Source organism: Homo sapiens, chromosome 3 (assembly GCF_000001405.40).
Source record: "Homo sapiens chromosome 3, GRCh38.p14 Primary Assembly".
NCBI lineage: Eukaryota > Metazoa > Chordata > Mammalia > Primates > Hominidae > Homo > Homo sapiens.
Window position 1 is genome coordinate 149,068,594 of NC_000003.12, and position 17,263 is coordinate 149,085,856.

The 17,263-nt window shown below is 36.6% G+C and overlaps 1 protein-coding gene across 9 annotated transcripts in view; it reads right to left on the reverse strand.

Annotated features, from left to right (window-relative positions):
* Positions 1–17,263, reverse strand: part of HLTF (helicase like transcription factor) — a 56,471-nt gene that overhangs the window by 38,531 nt on the left and 677 nt on the right. For all 9 annotated transcript variants that reach the window (NM_001318935.2, XM_017007079.3, NM_001318934.2 and 6 more), the window contains exons 2-7: positions 16,089–16,296; positions 7,288–7,454; positions 5,622–5,755; positions 4,632–4,729; positions 2,990–3,064; positions 2,659–2,850 (exon numbers count right to left, since the gene is read on the reverse strand). In NM_001318935.2, the coding sequence (NP_001305864.1) occupies positions 2,659–2,850; positions 2,990–3,064; positions 4,632–4,729; positions 5,622–5,755; positions 7,288–7,454; positions 16,089–16,296 (874 nt within the window). The remainder of the gene's footprint in view (positions 1–2,658; positions 2,851–2,989; positions 3,065–4,631; positions 4,730–5,621; positions 5,756–7,287; positions 7,455–16,088; positions 16,297–17,263) is intronic.

A 17,263-nucleotide genomic window follows, 5' to 3' on the forward strand; every position in this document is an offset into this window, starting at 1 on the left:
CTATTCTACAATTCTACATTTAATCCTGAACTCTTGATTTTTATCATGCAACTATTTATAACTACTCATTTGCCATGAAGTTCGGAGCTAAAGTGATTAGTAATTCCAGTATGCATATAATCATTTTATTAAAATTTGACTTAAAGATAATACCAAGCTTAAAAGTCATAACTTCTCCATAAAGCATAAAAGATATATTTCTTATGCATTTTTCTTAAGTGGAAGTATGTAATTTTTCAATATTTACTGCAGCTTAATTCATAGTTGGCAATACATTAGTAAATCTCTGGCAATTTTAAAGCAGTGTAAATAACAGCAGTTTTCAAAGTGTGGTCCACAGGCCACTGGGGATGGGGAGGGTTTCCCAGGAGCCCTTCACGAAAATGCAAAGTCAAAACTGTTTTTATAATACTACTAAGACAGACCTTACTCTGTTAACATCTGCACTAATCCTACAAAAAGCCCAAATAGCAATGGTCAAAAAAGTGCCTCAGCATAAAACAAAGCAGTTGGCACTAAGGTATATTAGTACTAGTCATCATATTCTTAACTGCCACATACAGTTAAAAAAAAAAGTTTTCCTTAAGAATGTTCTTGGCTGGGCACAGTGGCTCAGGCCTGTAATCCCAGCACTTTGGGAGGCCGAAGCAGGTGGATCACCTGAGGTAGGAGTTCAAGACCAGCCTGGACCAACACGGTGAAACCCCGTCTCTACTAAATACAAAAAATTAGCTAGGTGTGGTGGTGCATGCCTGTAATCCCAGCTACTTGGGAGGCTAAGGAAGGAGAATCACTTGAACCTGGGAGGCGGAGGGTGCAGTGAGCCAAGACTGAACCATTACTCCAGCCTGGGCAACAAGAGTGAAACTCCATCTCAAGAAAAAAAAAAAAAAAGAAGAAGAATGTTCTTGACGAAGCAGTACACATTAATTTTATTAAGTCTCATTACTTCAGTACAAATCTTTTTAATATTCTGTGTAGTGAAATGGAAACTACATATTAACTACTTCTGTTGCATATCAAACTATGAGGGTTAGCTAGAGAAAAATCACTCAAGATGGGAGTTATAAGCTCAACTAGTCACTTTTTTCATGCGACACCATTTTTACTTGAATGACAACTATCAATCACGACTGAGTGTCTGAAAGATACTTTCTAGAAAATGAACAAAGTGAGGCTGTCATCTACAAAGGAAACAACTGAGCTTGTCAATGATAAAATGTGAGTTTTCAATAGAAAATTAGAATGTTGGAAAAGTTGTGTGTGACACTATGAACATAGTGCCTTCCCAAAATGTAAATGATTTTCTAATAACATCAGTGGTAATATTAATGAATGTAAGTTTTGGATATTGCATATGAAATACATCAACATTTAGTAGGTCTGCCCAACTCAATGAACCAACATTTTCTAAATGAGCAATGCCTGGTGTTATAAAATCATACATGGGTAAAATATTCATTCAATGAGCAAGATACACAAATAGATTTTAACAAAACAGGGTATAAAAAGCTCACTGATATGATTTAGCGTTCCATATTACAACAATTAACCTTTAATAAACTAATATTTATTGAATTTTGATGCAGTATATCAAAGAAATCTGCAATTATCTAAAAAGCTATTACAATACTCCTCTCTTTACAGCAACATACCGTCGTAAGGACAAATTTTCTTCATATACTTCAACCAAAACAACCTAACAGAACAGACTGAATGAAGAAGCAGGTGAGAATTCAGCTGCCATCTATTCGGCCAAACACAGAGATGTGCAAAAATGTGACAATGCCAGTTGTTGCAACAAAAATGTTAATGTTTTGGCATAGTTATTTTTCTTTTAAAAATATGCTATTTATGTTAACAAGCAATGAGTTTGTACTGCTATCTTTAGCTACCACTGCCTAATACTATAACTACTGATAACAGCACACAAAAGCAAAAGCTCTTTGAAATCAGTAATTTTTATGAGTAGAAAGGGTTACTGAGACTGAAAAATATAAAAACTGCTAGTGTAAGGACACATAAGTATCTATTTAATACTCTGCATAACACAATATTTGTGATGGAATACAATTTCACATAACATTGTTTTGTCTTTACTTTTTAAAAGAAAACCTATGAAAGACAGGTCACCCTGAATTTCAAAGAGCAAAGAAAATTGAGAAACATGGCCAGGCAGGGTGGCTCACATCTGTAACCCCAGCACTTTGGGAGGCCAAGGCGGGCGGATCACTTGAAGTCAGGAGTTCAAAACCAGCCTGGCCAACGTGGTAAAACCCTGTCTCTACTAAAAATACAAAAATTAGCTGGGCATGGTGGCACATGCCTGTAATCCCAGCTATTTGGAAGTCTGAGACAGGAGAACTGCTTGAACCTGGGAGGCGGAGGCTGCAGTGAGCCAAGATCGCGTCACTGCACTCCAGCCTGGGTGACAGAGCAAGACTCCATCTCAAAAAAAAAAAAAAGAAAACTGAGGAACACATCTTTATACCACTATTTTAACTAAAAACTACAGGAAAAACTGTGTTCTACAAAGATAGTAAGATCTAGTCCCAAACTGGTACCAACATATTCCTATCTCTTTTTACTTCAAAATTACTTTCTAGAAAATCATAATCACAAAATTAGATTTTATTAACTAAAGAAAAAAATAATTACCAAACCCATATCATCAGCTAAAATTCCTCCATGGACATTTTCTGGTCGGTCCTTCTCAGAAAAATTTGTTATTGTGTTATAGTATAAGTCATTTCGCTGTTCCCAGAATGGTGGAAGTTCTTTGCTATTTTCCCGTGACACCATCCAAGCTAGAGCTTGTTTTTGATGTGGAAGCAGTGGTGTTTCAATAGCCTATAAATAAAAAGTCATAAAGCGAAATACATTAAGCCATTCCTTTTTCACATGCAGATCCTGTGATTAAACAAAAAGTAGATTCTAAGTATATTTAAACATTCTGAGTAGTCTTAAATAAAAAATATTGGTTCAATACCTCAGCTGGTTCCATTTCATGGGTTTTATCATCTTCTTTTAAATCTTCAAACAATTTGTCAAATTCTGTTTTAAGCTACAATAAACAGCAACAAGAAACAATGTAAAACAAACTAATTAAAATAATACTTGCATTTAAGTCAGATTTGAAATCATTTAATTAACTGGCGTTAATGTCAAACGGGCCAGGAGTGGTGGCTCATGCCAATAATCTCAGCACTTTGGGAGACCAAGGTGGGAGGATCACTTGAGCTCAGGAGTTTGAGACCAGCCTGGATAACATAGTGAGAGATCCCATCTCTACAAAAAAATTTTTAAAAAATTAGCCAGGCATGGGGGTGCATGCCTGTAGTTCTGGCTCCTAGGGATGCTGAGATGGGAGGATCACTTCAGCCTAGTAGGTAGAGGATAGAGTGAACCATGATTATGCCACTGCACTCCAGCCTGGGCAAGAAAGTGAGACCCTGTCCCAAAAAATTAAGAAATTGAAATTAAATTAAATTTAAAAACCACAAACTAGTCAAACGCCAAAAAGGCACATAAATCAACTCTAGAATTACACTACTCACTGAAGAGCGAATGAACAGGTGCTTTAGTTGTTAGGAGGTAAAAGAATATAAAAGAATTTTAAGTCCCGAGTTTCAGTCACAGTTTTATCACAAATAAGCTTATATGTAAGTTTCAGCAAGACTTGACCTTTATGGCCCCATGTCTTATTCCTATAAAATGAAAGGGATGAACTAAATTTAGATTGTCTCTAAGGTTCCTTCTGCCATTAAAATTCTGTGATGCTATCAGTTGTATTCAAAATATTTTCTCAGTCCTACCAGGTCAATGACATTCCATTTATTATTACTGCAATAAGGAACTTGCCATGCACTATAGGATACTTTTATTATTATGCTAACTTAATTGACTATTTAAACTAGGTTAGTCCAATTTTATATCAACATATATGTGATACAGATATTTTTGAAAATTAACACATGAACACAGCAGCAGCTCAGAAGAAATCAGGCCAGGTCTAAAAAATCAGAAGTAACCGGGGGCTTATCTACCAGAAACAAGCTCAAGTCCTTCTAACAATAAGCAGGGTAAATATGGTAACTACAATTAGTAGATAAAAGGACTAACACTGGTAGATACAAACATCAAAAAAGTTTTAATGTTATTTTTAAATTGATCTGCATTAATTACTTTATATACTTTTTTTTCAAAGAAATTCAGCATAACTCATCCTAAATTACAAATTAGACAATGTGAAGAATTTGGAGTTAAATCTTTAGCACTGCATTTGCAAAATTACTGAAAGGAGTTAAGTCTCAGCTTCAATTTTTTTCTTAAAATTACTACTTGAACATTTAAAACATTTCAGATACAAAAATATGCCGTGCATAAACAGGAACGTGTGTGTTTTGTATGTTGGGTACAAATGTTCACGTATGGATTTATTCCTTATCAGTACTTTTTATATAAAATGTTAACATATATATATTCTATTTATTCTATAACATGTTTCATTATAACTTAATATATTTGAAGACCACAAATACCCACACGTACATATTCATCCTGTTCTTTTAAATACAAACCTGCAACATTTAAAATTCACTTTTAGATTACAAAATAAAAGAGAAGCACACCTGTTCAGTTGTCATCTGTACTGCAGCATGCACTGGCATACTATAGCTTGGTCCAGCTCTTCCAGAGCCCCAACCACTTTCCAAATTGAATCCTAAAGCTATAATTTACAAAATAAAAAGAATAAAGCCATCAAATAAAGTAGGTTTTTATCTTTTATTAAGTAGCTTTTAAAATATGCATTAACAGGGCTGGGTGCTGTGGCTCATGCCTGTAACCCAAGCACTTTGGGAGGCCAAGGCAGGTGGTTTGCCTGAGTCCAGTAGTTTGAGACTAGCCTGGGCAACATGGTGAGATTCTGTCTCTACAAAAAATACAAAAATTAGCAGAGCGTGATGGTGTGCGCCTGTAGTCCCAGCTACTCAGGAGGCTCAGGTGGAAGGACTGCTGGAGCCCAGGAGGTCAAGGTTGCACTCAGCCACTGATCGTGGCCACTGTACTCTAGCCTGGGTGACAGAGCAAGACTCTGTCTCAAAATATATACACAAATAAATAAATAAAACGTGCATAACAAACTGCATTAAAAGCCTTGTATTTTAGAGGTATTTTAAAAGCTAAATACTAAATCACTAAAAAAACAAGTAATTCCACATTATTTGAACAAACTCTTGCCAAGCAATCCTTTTCATTCGCTATCAGAAGATTATTTTTGCCTAAAATTTATCAAAAAGAATGTTTAAAGTCAGGGGTTTCCAGATGTTACCATTAGGGAAAATTAGGGGAGGGTATATATGAGACTTCATTGCATATATACTTTTTCTTTAATTTTTTTAATATCCCCTCACTCTTACTGTGTATATTTTTATGTGTGAATCTATTTCAATAGAGGCAAAAGGAAAAATCAGAGATTTCCTCAAAAAGACTCCTGAAAAAAAGTTGTACCTTGGAGCCTTGAGCACAAATTAGCCAACAAACTCCAAGAGAGAATAAATGTTTCATAATCCCTGCATCTTACAATATCAGAATAATATTAAGTGAAACCCTAAACTTACTTTTTGGTGCAGGACCCAATTTAAATCCATGTTTCTTCAACTGATCTGAAACCGCTTTTCTATTTTCTTCTTTTCCCCAAAAAGTCATATGCAGAGGCATGGTAAAAGCATTGTTTGCACCAAAAGGAACTACCCTATTATATTTGGGAGAAAAAGAAAGGGAAATCAGAAGCATTACTTTTTATCCCCACTAAGAATTAGTTCAATATTTTAAGTGTATCATTTACATTTTACATTGAAGTAAAGTAATAAGGAACTAGTTGGGCAGACTTGAAAGAAAAAAAGGAAAAGAAATAGAACCATAAACAATCAGAAGGGTGATTTTTAGAAACAGAGTGCCAGAAAAAATTGAGAAAATGGAATAAAGCAGTTTTAAAAATGCAAGGATGGCCTGTAAACAAGATTGTAATATAAGTAAAATAAGTTAAATCAAAGGGTAGAGTTTGGCTAACGGAACCACTGAGGGTAGTAACTCATTCTGCTTGGAAAATGGGAAATGCAAGAACTTGTGATTCACTAAGTTATTCTCAATAACTGAAAAACCTGATAAACTGAAAAAGGAGAAAACAAAGTGAGACATTATGAGCATTTATTTTCTCTTCAAACTCACCTAGGATTATATGAATATCCTAAAAATTAGAATTAGAATATCAAGATCCTAAATATTCCAGATACTTAAATTGAGATCACAAGTACAAATGCCTAAAAGAGAAAAGGTAACTGAAAGATTGAAAGAGTTTAGAAAAAGAAAAAAGAAACAGGTGATAAAACTGGGAGAGCATATGCCCTAGCTAAAGGGAGAGTTCCAGTCAACTATTGTCATATGGAAGTGACAACTCATCCTGCATTGCCAGATTTCCCACTTGTCAAGAGAAAAATAAGTTTTTTGTATTTAAGAAAATAAATTAATATGTATAAAATGCGGACTTAGCTATTTCAATAATTAGTACTGAACGAAAAAATGTCTAAAACACTGCAGGGCAAAATGAAATTCACCTACATCATATCACAGAATACCAGTTTATAACCTCTGATATAAACAAACACTTCCAGGCTGGGCACGGTGGCTCACGCCTGTAATCCCAGCATTTTGGGAGGCCGAGGCGGGCAGATCACCTGAGGTCAGGAGTTCGAGACAGCCTGGCCAACATGGCAAATCTCTGTCTCTACTAAAAAATACAAAAATTAATTGGGCATGGTGGCAGGCACCTGTAGCTACTCAGGAGGCTAAGGCAGGGAGAGTTGCTTGAACCCTGGAGGCGGAGGTTGCAGTCAGCCGAGATCACACAACTGCACTGCAGCCTGGGCAACAGAGTGAGACTTCGTCTCAAAATAAATAAATAAATAAATAAACAAATAAACACTTCCAAATTCCTAAACCTAGGTACCAAAAGGTTTGGAGAAATGGAATGTACTTCCTAATATTTGAACCAAGGTCTATTTTCTCCATGGTAATAATTCCATAGGAAAATGAGAGGACAATTGTTTGATGGCTGGGGTAGTAGAAGTATGTAAAAGGAGAAATAAAACATTTATTTAACACGTACCAAAAGTACAGTGATAGAAATTGTTAGCATACCTTTATAGGCTCTAACAAGAAGCCCTAACAAGTTCAAAGATGACTATAATTCACAATTATTAAAACTAAATTCTGAAAGTACATTACCCTTCAATTTGTGCCAATTTGTTGTCCATGATATAGGCCAAAGCACCTGCAAGCTCTTTCTTTAAATGGCCAACTTGATTTCCATTCACATTGTTTACTTTAATTGCATTCTTATCATAAGGGTTATTAGGATCTCGTTGTAATGCAACCATTTCATTATTATTAACCTAATAAAAATGATAAACAGATAATATTACATTATAAATAATAGACAATAACTTTGTTATACTTTATCTGGGATTTCCATTCATTTTTTAATGCTACTGCTAAACACTGCACATAAGAAAAATATATTTTCTAGACACAAACTACAGAAATATTAATATATATTATTATGACTCCTTAATATTATTTTTCTAATCTATATTCATTAGGAAGTTAACAAATCCTTAATGTCTTAAAAAATAGTCAAATGTAAACTAGCAAATTCAAATTATCTAAAATTTTCAACATCATAACTTCTGAAAAATAGCCAACCCTTATTGAGCGCTTACTATGTGCCAAGCATTGGTCTAAGTACATTGCACAGACTGACTTTTTAAATCCTCACAGCTCTATTGGGAGGTACTATCATTATTCCCATTTTACAAATGAAGAAACTGAAGCACAGAAAAGTAACTTGCCCAAGGTCACAAAGCTAAAAGGTAGCAGAGCTAGGATCTGAACCCACACAGGGTGGTTCCTGAGCCTCAATTCTCCAGAATATAAAAGTCAGGGAATAAGGCATTTATAAGTCAGGATGGAACTAGGTAAGAAAAATATATCCAGCCTTCAACTCATGCCATTCTGATTCTACTTTATTAAAAACTGTATGATTTAACTTAAATATTATGATGTATATTTTTAAAAACTGAAGGAGGGTAACACAATAAAGAATGGTAGAATGAGGACTTTCAAAAATTCCTCAATAAAGGCAACAAAAAAACTAGATAAATTATTTGTCAGAATCAAATGTTTCAGAACACTGAGAACTAAATCAAAGGCTTGCAGAAATCTGGGTAACATTTATTCAAGAATAAAAAGAATAAACAGCTGAATATCAGTACTTCAGTCCCATCCCCAGCAATCCTGTAGCCTTTAAAAATAGCTCACGGCCAGGCACAGTAGCTCACGCCCCCAGCACTTTGGGAGGCCGAGGTGGGAAGATCACGAGGTCAAGAGATCAAGACCATCCTAGCCAACATGGTGAGACCCCCGTCTCTACTAAAAATACAAAAATTAGCTGGGTGTGGTGGCACGCGCCTGTAGTCCTAGCTACTCGGGAGGCTGAGGCAGGAGAACCACTTGAACCCGGCAGGCAGAGGTTGCAGTGAGCCAAGATAGTGCCCCTGCACTCCAGCCTGGTGACAGAGCGAGACTTCATCTCAAAATAAATAAATAAATAAATAAATAAATAAATAAATAAATAAATAAAAATAATAGCTTGTTGGGATCCTAGGTAAAGCCTGGCAGTCACCAGAAAAAAAGAGAATGGAGTTACAGTTCTTTCAGAGATTCATTCCCAAAGAACTGTTATTCTCCTGAAGTTCCCCGGAAGACCCCACTTGCAAGGCTGACTGTATTTAACCTCTGAGCTCACCAAGTACAAAAAAACCTCCCTTGGGCGGATGTTTGTCAAAACAATTTTACAGGAAAGTGTTTTAACTTCATGGCTACCTGAGGCAGTGGATAACAGCTGAAGCAAAAAAACAAAAAGGCTTATAAAGAAGAGCTAGGGAATGAGATGTCTGTGAGGGCTTTGAAAAGCTCCAGTGTATTTCTGGATATCTAGAAGGCCGTAAGCAAGCACAGGGCTGGTATGCATGACCAGGGCTGTGCACATTCTCAAGAAAGACCTGAGAAGGCCCTAAACGCTCACCTTTGCCTGAACTTGAGCATTTAAACAAGCCAGAAGTGAAAGCTAAAGCAGAGTTGTCAGGGGCCTTAGAGTGTTGAAGGAATGCCCTAACATACAGAAGTTCTCAGCAAAGAATGTACGATTTATTAGTTCCAGCACAATCATCAGCTGACCGCTAAGCTAACCAAGTACAGACTTCAGTGACCACACACGATAAAGGATAGACATCACAGAATTAATTCAGGAAAGTCACTAACAAACACACACTAATTACAAAACTCAGCAACAAACCACCCTAGAAGCCTAACAAACACACACTAATTACAAAACTCAGCAACAACAAACCACCCTGATTTCCAGAGCTGCCACATTATTTAAAATGTCAATTTTTCAAGAAAAAAAGTACAAGACATGCAAAAAAAATAAGAAAGTATGGTCTATACACAGGGAAAAAAAGCAATCAATGTCAACTGTCCCCAAGAAAGTATAGATGTTTGACATAGTAGAAAAAGAATTTAAGTCAGTTATTTTAAATATGTTCAAAGGGGCTGGGCATGGTGGCTCACACTTGTAATCCCAGCACTTTAGGAGGCTGAAGTGTGAGGATCTCTTGAGGCCAGGAATTTGAGACCAGCCTGGGAAACATAGCAAGACCCCATTTCTACAAAATAAAAATAGAAAAATTAGCCAGGTATGGTGGTACATGCCTGTAGTCCCAGCTATTCAGGAGTCTGAGGTGGGAGGACTGCTTGAATGCAGGAGTTCAAGGTTACAGTGAGCTATGATCACGCCACTGCACTCCAGCCTGGGTAATAGAGCAAGAACCTATCTCTAAAAAATTAAAAAGTTCAAAGACCTGGCCGGGCACAGTGGCTCACGCCTGTAATCCCAGCACTTTGGGAGGCCGAGGTGGGCGGATCACGAGGTCAGGAGATCGAGACCATCCTGGCTAACACAGTGAAACCCCGTCTCTACTAAAAATACAAAAAATTAGCCGGGCGAGGTGGCGGGTGCCTGTAGTCCCAGTTACTCGGGAAGCTGACACAGGAGAATGATGTGAACCTGGGAGGCAGAGCTTGCAGTGAGCCGAGATCGTGCCACTGCACTCCAGCCTGGGCGACAAAGCAAGACTCCGTCTCAAAAAAAAAAAAAAATAAGTTCAAAGACCTAAAGCAAATCATTTCTTTCGACATGAAAACGCATGTCTAAAAGCATGGAGACGATGTCTCACCAAACAGCAATTCTAGAGTCAAAAGGTACAATAACTGAAGAAAAAATTCACCAGAGAGACTCAACAGCAAATTTGAGCAGGCATAAGAAAAATCAGCGAAGCTGAAGATAGGTCAATTGAGATTATACAATCTAAGGAACAAAAAAATGACACACAACAGAGCCTCAGAAACTTGTAATATCAAGCATACCAACACACATACATAAGAGTACCATAAGGAGAAAAGAGAAAGGGGCAGAAAAAATATTTAAAGAAATAACAGCCAAAACCTTCCCAATTCGATGGAAACCACTACTCTACACATATAAGAAGCTCAACAACTCCAACTAAAATAAACTCAAAGAGATCCACACCTGGTCACATCATAATCAAACTGTCAAAAGAAGTTTGAGACCAGCCTGGGCAAAAGGGTAACGACAGTTTCTAAAAAAAAAAAAAAAAAAAAAAAAAAAAAAAAAAAAAAATTATTTAAAAAAATAAAAATTTTTAAGTATAATTTTTTGTAATTTTTGTCCTATCTCATTAAAAAGTATATAATTATAAATCTTTGTTGATAGGTATACTACATATATAAAGATATAACTTGGATAACAGCACAAAGGAAGGCAATAGGATGGAGCTGTGAGCAAAGGTTTTTTTGGGGTTTTCTTTGTTGTTGTTTTTTTGAGACAGAGTCTTGCTGTCACCAGGCTGGAGTACAGTCGCACAATCTCGGCTCACTGCAACCTCTGACTCCCTAGTTCATGCGATTCTCCTGCCTCAGCCTCCCAAGTAGCTGGGACTACAGGCAGGTGCCACCATGCCCAGCTAATTTTTGTATTTTTAGTAGAGATGGGGTTTCACCATGTTGGCCAGGATGGTCTCAATCTCCTAACCTCGTGATCCACTCACCTTGGCCTCCCAAAGCGCTGGGATTACAGGCGTGAGCCACCATGCCCCATGCCCAGCCACAAAGTTTTTTATATACTGTTAAGTTGGCACTAATCCAAACTAGGTTCTTATAAATTAAGTTGTTAATTGTAATCCCTAAAGCAATCATAAGTAACTCAAAATATATAGTAAAAGAAACAAGGGAATTAAAATAGTACACTAAAAAAAAAAATCTATTTAACATAAAAATGAGTATTGGAGGCCAGACCCAAATGCCACATATTGTATCATTTCATTTACGTGAAATGTCAAGAGGAGGTAAATCCATATACACAGGAAGAAGACTGATTCATGGTTGCCAGGGACTGAGGGGTAGAGATAATGGGAGTGACTACAAATGGGAATGAGGTTTCTTTTTGGAGTAATGAAAATGTTTTGGAACTAGATTGTAGGGATGGTTGCACAACCTTGTGAGTATTCTAAAAACTACTCAACTGTACACTTTAAAATGGTAAATTTTATAATAAATGTATCTCAATTTTAAAAAATTCCTTGAAAATATACAAGAAAGCTGCTTCAAACCTCTCCCAGCATGTCTACTGACTCAAGAGATTACAGCCAGAACTAAACAGAGTATTAGACAGATATTCATCTCTAGACTTTTAGAGATATTATCTATGAGGCAGAGCTATGTTCTCTCCCAGTCGCCACCCCTCTGCCACTGCCTACAGGATGATCTTTTTTAAACCGGATTATGCAAATCCTAGAAAATACATAACCAAAATAAAAAAGCAGGGCACAAAACTAACAATTTTTGAGCATTTCATCTCAAGGTATTACATAATTGTAATTTATCATAATAAGCTATCATTAATTACAATTAGTTAACTGTCGTTACAAATAAGTAATTACTAGAATTTTAAATAAAATATATATGAGCCAAAATATTGGAGACTATAAAAACAAAAACATGGTCCCAGCAGCAAGAAAAAACAGGACATATAAAAAAACAAAAAGACAAAGACAAGAATAACAAAAGGAATGAGAATTAATCATAACAGTATAGTCATACCCCGCATAACAACATTTCAGCAATGACAGACCACATGCATTATGCAACAGTTGTTCCACAAGATTATAATGGGGCTGCCCTATAGAAGTGTACCATTTTTCATATTTTATACAATATTTTTACTGTACTTTTTTCATGTTATATATGCTTAAATACACAAATGTGTTACAATTGCCCACAGTATTCAGTAAAGTAACATCTTGTTCACTCTGTTTCCACAAAGAAATCACCTAACACTTTTCTCAGAAAGTATCTTCATTGTTAAGCAACACATAACTGTATTTTAAAATAGAAAAAGAAATAAACCACATTATAAAATAAAGCCTTTGATGGGTCAAAAAATAAACTTAACCATATGCTTATTGAAAACACACTAAAAAAAAAAAAACAAAAAATAAAAATGAAATAAGAATAAGAAAACACCAGAGTTAAAAATAAAGAATGCTACTACATAACAAAACGTGGTGGCTAAAGGCAACGCAATACTTAACACGTTTAAAGATTAAAAGATTAAATGACTCAAATTAAGTGCTCAAATCGCAAGTCCAACAGAAATGAAAAGAAAATAAATCTAAGTAGAAAAACCGAATGTAAGAGTAATTATTAAGCCAAGAAACACAATCATTAAGAAAAATTCAAGAGAGCCTGCCTTGAAAAGAAATAATGTCATAGCTAATCAATAAAAAAGACACGAATGTGTAACACAAAGAATAAAAACAGGAATATAATCACCTTTTTAAAAAAGTTTTTAAAAAGTTTAATGGAGCCAATAAGGCATATAAAATTATGTTCTGGCAGACATTAAAAAAATGGCACATTTTATCAAAATTTGACAATTCAGAGTAAAGGGTACTGAAATTTAAGGTTCAGAGCACCAACTTAAAACAACCAAAAAAATGGTTATTCAACTTGGAAAGAGTAACTAGAACCAAGGCATAAAAGGGAGTTTAAGTATGTGTTCCTCCAATTCAAAATCCTTCAGGAATAGGAGTTCTGGCCACTTGTGAGCAACACATCATACCACCAAACCCCAATTCCAGAAAATTACAGTTACAATTTTATAAGGATAAATGATTACTATGCACAATTCTATGGGAATAAGTTTGAATATCTAAATAAAATGGATGCTTTTCTTCAAAAATGTAACTAACCAAAATAGACCAAAGAAGTACCTAAATTATGCTGAGTGAAAAACGCCAGACTTAAAATAGTACATACTGTAGAATTCAATGTATATGAAGTTCTAGAATAGGCAAAACTTATTTATAGTGATAGAAGACTTGTGTGGCCGGGCGCAGTGGCTCACACCTGTAATCCCAGCACTTTGGGAGGCCGAGGCGGGCGGATCACGAGGTCAGGAGATACAGACCATCCTGGCTAACACGGTGAAACCCCGTCTCTACCAAAAATACAAAAAAATTAGCCGGGCATGGTGGCAGGCGCCTGTAGTCCCAGCTACTTGGGAGGCTGAGGCAGGAGAATGGCATGAACTTGGGAGGCGGAGCTTGCAATGAGCCGAGATCCCGCCACTGCGCTCCAGCCTGAGAAACAGAGCGAGACTCCGTCTCAAAAAAAACAAAAAAAAAGAAAAGAAATGAGACTCGTGGCTGCCTAGGGCAGGAACAGGGAAAAATGAATGCAATAGGATACAAGATACTTTGAGGGAGACGGATACAATCTGTATCTTGATTGGGGTAGTAGTTATCAGGTATACATCTTTGTCAAAACACTAGGATCATACATTTAAAATATGTACATTTTATCATACGTAAACCACATCTCAATAAAGTAGAAAAAAAATTAAAATAACAAGTATGCAAAGATAGTATCTCAATTTTTATTATTTTTATAATAGTGATTAACTCAAAAATGTCCATCAACAAGGAAATTATAAGTCCAATATAGATGATATTCCTAATCACATTAGGCATAATATGATCTCATTTTTATTAATACATAATATGATTCCAATTTACATGCACATGCTCACAGAAACAAGTGTAGAAGATAAGTTATGGTTCTGGATGATAGACTTCAGAAGATTTAATGCCTTTTTAGCCATTTAAAAATAATGAACGTGGCTGGGCGCGGTGGCTCATGCCTGTAATCCCAGCACTTTGGAAGGCCGAGGTGAGTGGATCACCTGAGGTCAGGGGTTCAAGACCAGCCTGACCAACATGGCAAAACCTCATCTCTCCTAAATACAAAAAATTAGCTGGGCATGATGGCGCATGCCTGTAATCCCAGCTACTTAGGAGGCTGTTGCAGGAGAACCGCTTGAACCTGGGAGGCGGAGGTTGCAGTGAGCCAAGATTGCACCATTGCACTCCAGCCTGGGCAATGCAAGCAAGACTCCGTTTCAAAAAAAAAACAAAAACAAATAAAAGAACATGCATTAATTATAAAATAAATGATATCTCAACATAGTGTTCCTGGAAAAAAATAAAATTTAAAGTATATATATTTGGCAAAATAAGAAAACTGATGATTACTTTTTATCAACACACACTAGAGTTTACCGAAGTCATAGAGATTATTCTCAGATCAAAAATACTGATTGTTCTAAGATCAATAACTACCATAATCTAGTATTTCATGGTGGTATAAAATAATTATCGAAAGCAATGTAAGTTTTGAAAAATTAGCACAAATCTGAAACAGAAAAGCTCAGAAATGCATATGAGAGCCAGAGAATATATAGATGTGAAATAAGAACTGATAGAGTTCAAGAATCTATTAGAAAAAATTAGAGGCCGGGTGCAGCATCCCAGCACTTGGAGAGGCCAAGGCGGACGGATCACTTGAGCCCAGGAGTTCCAGATCAGCCTGGACAACATGCCAAAACCTAAAAAAAAATACAAAAAAAAAAAATACAAAAATTAGCTGGGTATGGTGGTGAACGCCAGCAGTCCCAGCTACTCAGGAGGCTGAATTGGGAGAATTGCTTGAGTCTGGGAGGCAGAGATTGCAGTGAGGCCAGATCAGGCCACTGCACTCCAGCCTGGGCAACAAAACGAAACTTGGTCTCAAAAAAAAAGAAAAAAAAAAAAATCCAATTCACTTAAGTGAAAGAAAATCACACTGGCCTGAGAATTCTATGCAACATTAGGATATGGAGATTTTATTACAAAGATTTTATTACAAAGATATATTACAAAGATTTTAAATTCAGCCCAACTGTCATTAAGTCCTTCATAACTTTCATTTTATGAAACTGTCATTCATAAAATGCCACAAGTATGAAAATATAAAAACTTAGGAAATATTGTCTCTTCCTAAGGAATCTCCTAGACAACACATTTCAGACAATCAAAAAACAATTTGAAACGTTCCAATGTAAAGGAAATACAGGAGAAAAACAAATCCAGAACATGAAACTCCTAAGGAATCTCCTGTCGAACATGCTTCAGACACCCTATTGAGAAGCTTAAACATAAGAAACATACGGAGAAATGAAAGAATAAAATCCAGAAGATTCCACAAAACGATCTCCTTTTTGCAACAAATCGATGACATGAACAAGGCGCTGGGGTGTGGGGGTGGGGTGCTACCCATAATAACCAAACATAACGCACTGAGGCCAAGCATATTGGCTCATTCCTGTAATCCCAACACTCTGGGAGGCTGAGGTGGGAGGGTCACTTAAGGTATTTGTTATTTTTTGCGTACAAATATTTAACTAACTTAAAGTAAAATAAAGATTAACCGCACACATCACCTGCGAATTCTCTTATTTTCTAGGTTAACGCCAGAAATATAATCAAAATTTAATTATCTACTATTATACTCACTACTCCCGTGTAATAGCGTAGTCCAACCACATGACCTCTCAAACTTCCAAATAAAACGGAATCTACTTCTTCATCACTAGTTAGAAAGTCATCTGGAGGGATAACATCTTGGAATTCAAAACGTGGAAAGAAAGTTGGATATGAGAGGCGTGGAAAATTTCCATGAACTCCATACTGGACAGTCTGCAAGTACTTCCAAACTGGATCCCTATTTTTTTTTAAAGGCAAAGAAAAACAATATAATATTTAAGTATTTCCAAAGACCATATGAGTAGTTTTCTCATGCTTTACTTCAGCAAATGAAATCTTACATGGGAATCACGGTAAAGATTAATAGTTACTCTCGTTAAAGCAGGAATTGCAGTGAGTGGAGAAGGCTTCTAGGAACTCTACCTGTTTTCAATATTGGCTCTTCTACCTGCCCCCTAGGTATTCAAAATGAAAAGCCTAGTCAGAGTTCACTAACCTCTTTCCCAGTGAAAATCATCTAAATTGATATGTATATGATGTCTGTAACTACAATTATGGGCCGGATGCGGTGGCTCACGCCTGGAATCCCAGCACTTTGGGAGGCAGAGGCAGGTGGATCACCTGAGGTCAGGAATTTGAGACCAACCTGGCCAACATTGTGAAACCCTGTCTACTACAAATACAAAAATTAGCCAGGCGTGGTGGCGCCCATATGTAATCCCAGCTACTCGGGAGGCTGAGGCAGGAGAATCACTTGAACCCGGGAGGCGTAGGTTGCAGCGAGCCGAGATTGTGCCACTGCACTCCAGCCTGGACGACAGAGCGAGACTCCATGTCAAAAAAATAATTTAAAAAATGAAATCATATGCCAAAATTTCAATAGGGATTGAGCTATATAAAAGACTTATAAAAATACAACTATTAATGTACCAGAAGTTGTTTATAATTTTCCAGAAAATACATCCAGCATCCATCACTGTAACTCCCTGCGAGCAGAACACCTATTCTGGTATCCAAACCACGCCACCGTGGGAAATTGGCCCCAAGCCACCCGTACCCGCCTTCCGTCGCCGGTTTAAGCATAACCCCAAACCCATTAGGTGTAACTGTTTCGGGAATGACCATAAATACCAATTTGGACAATGAAAAGTGAAGGGGAGTCTACTGGAGCATTGCAAAAAGTTTCCATTCTCCTAAGAACAGTC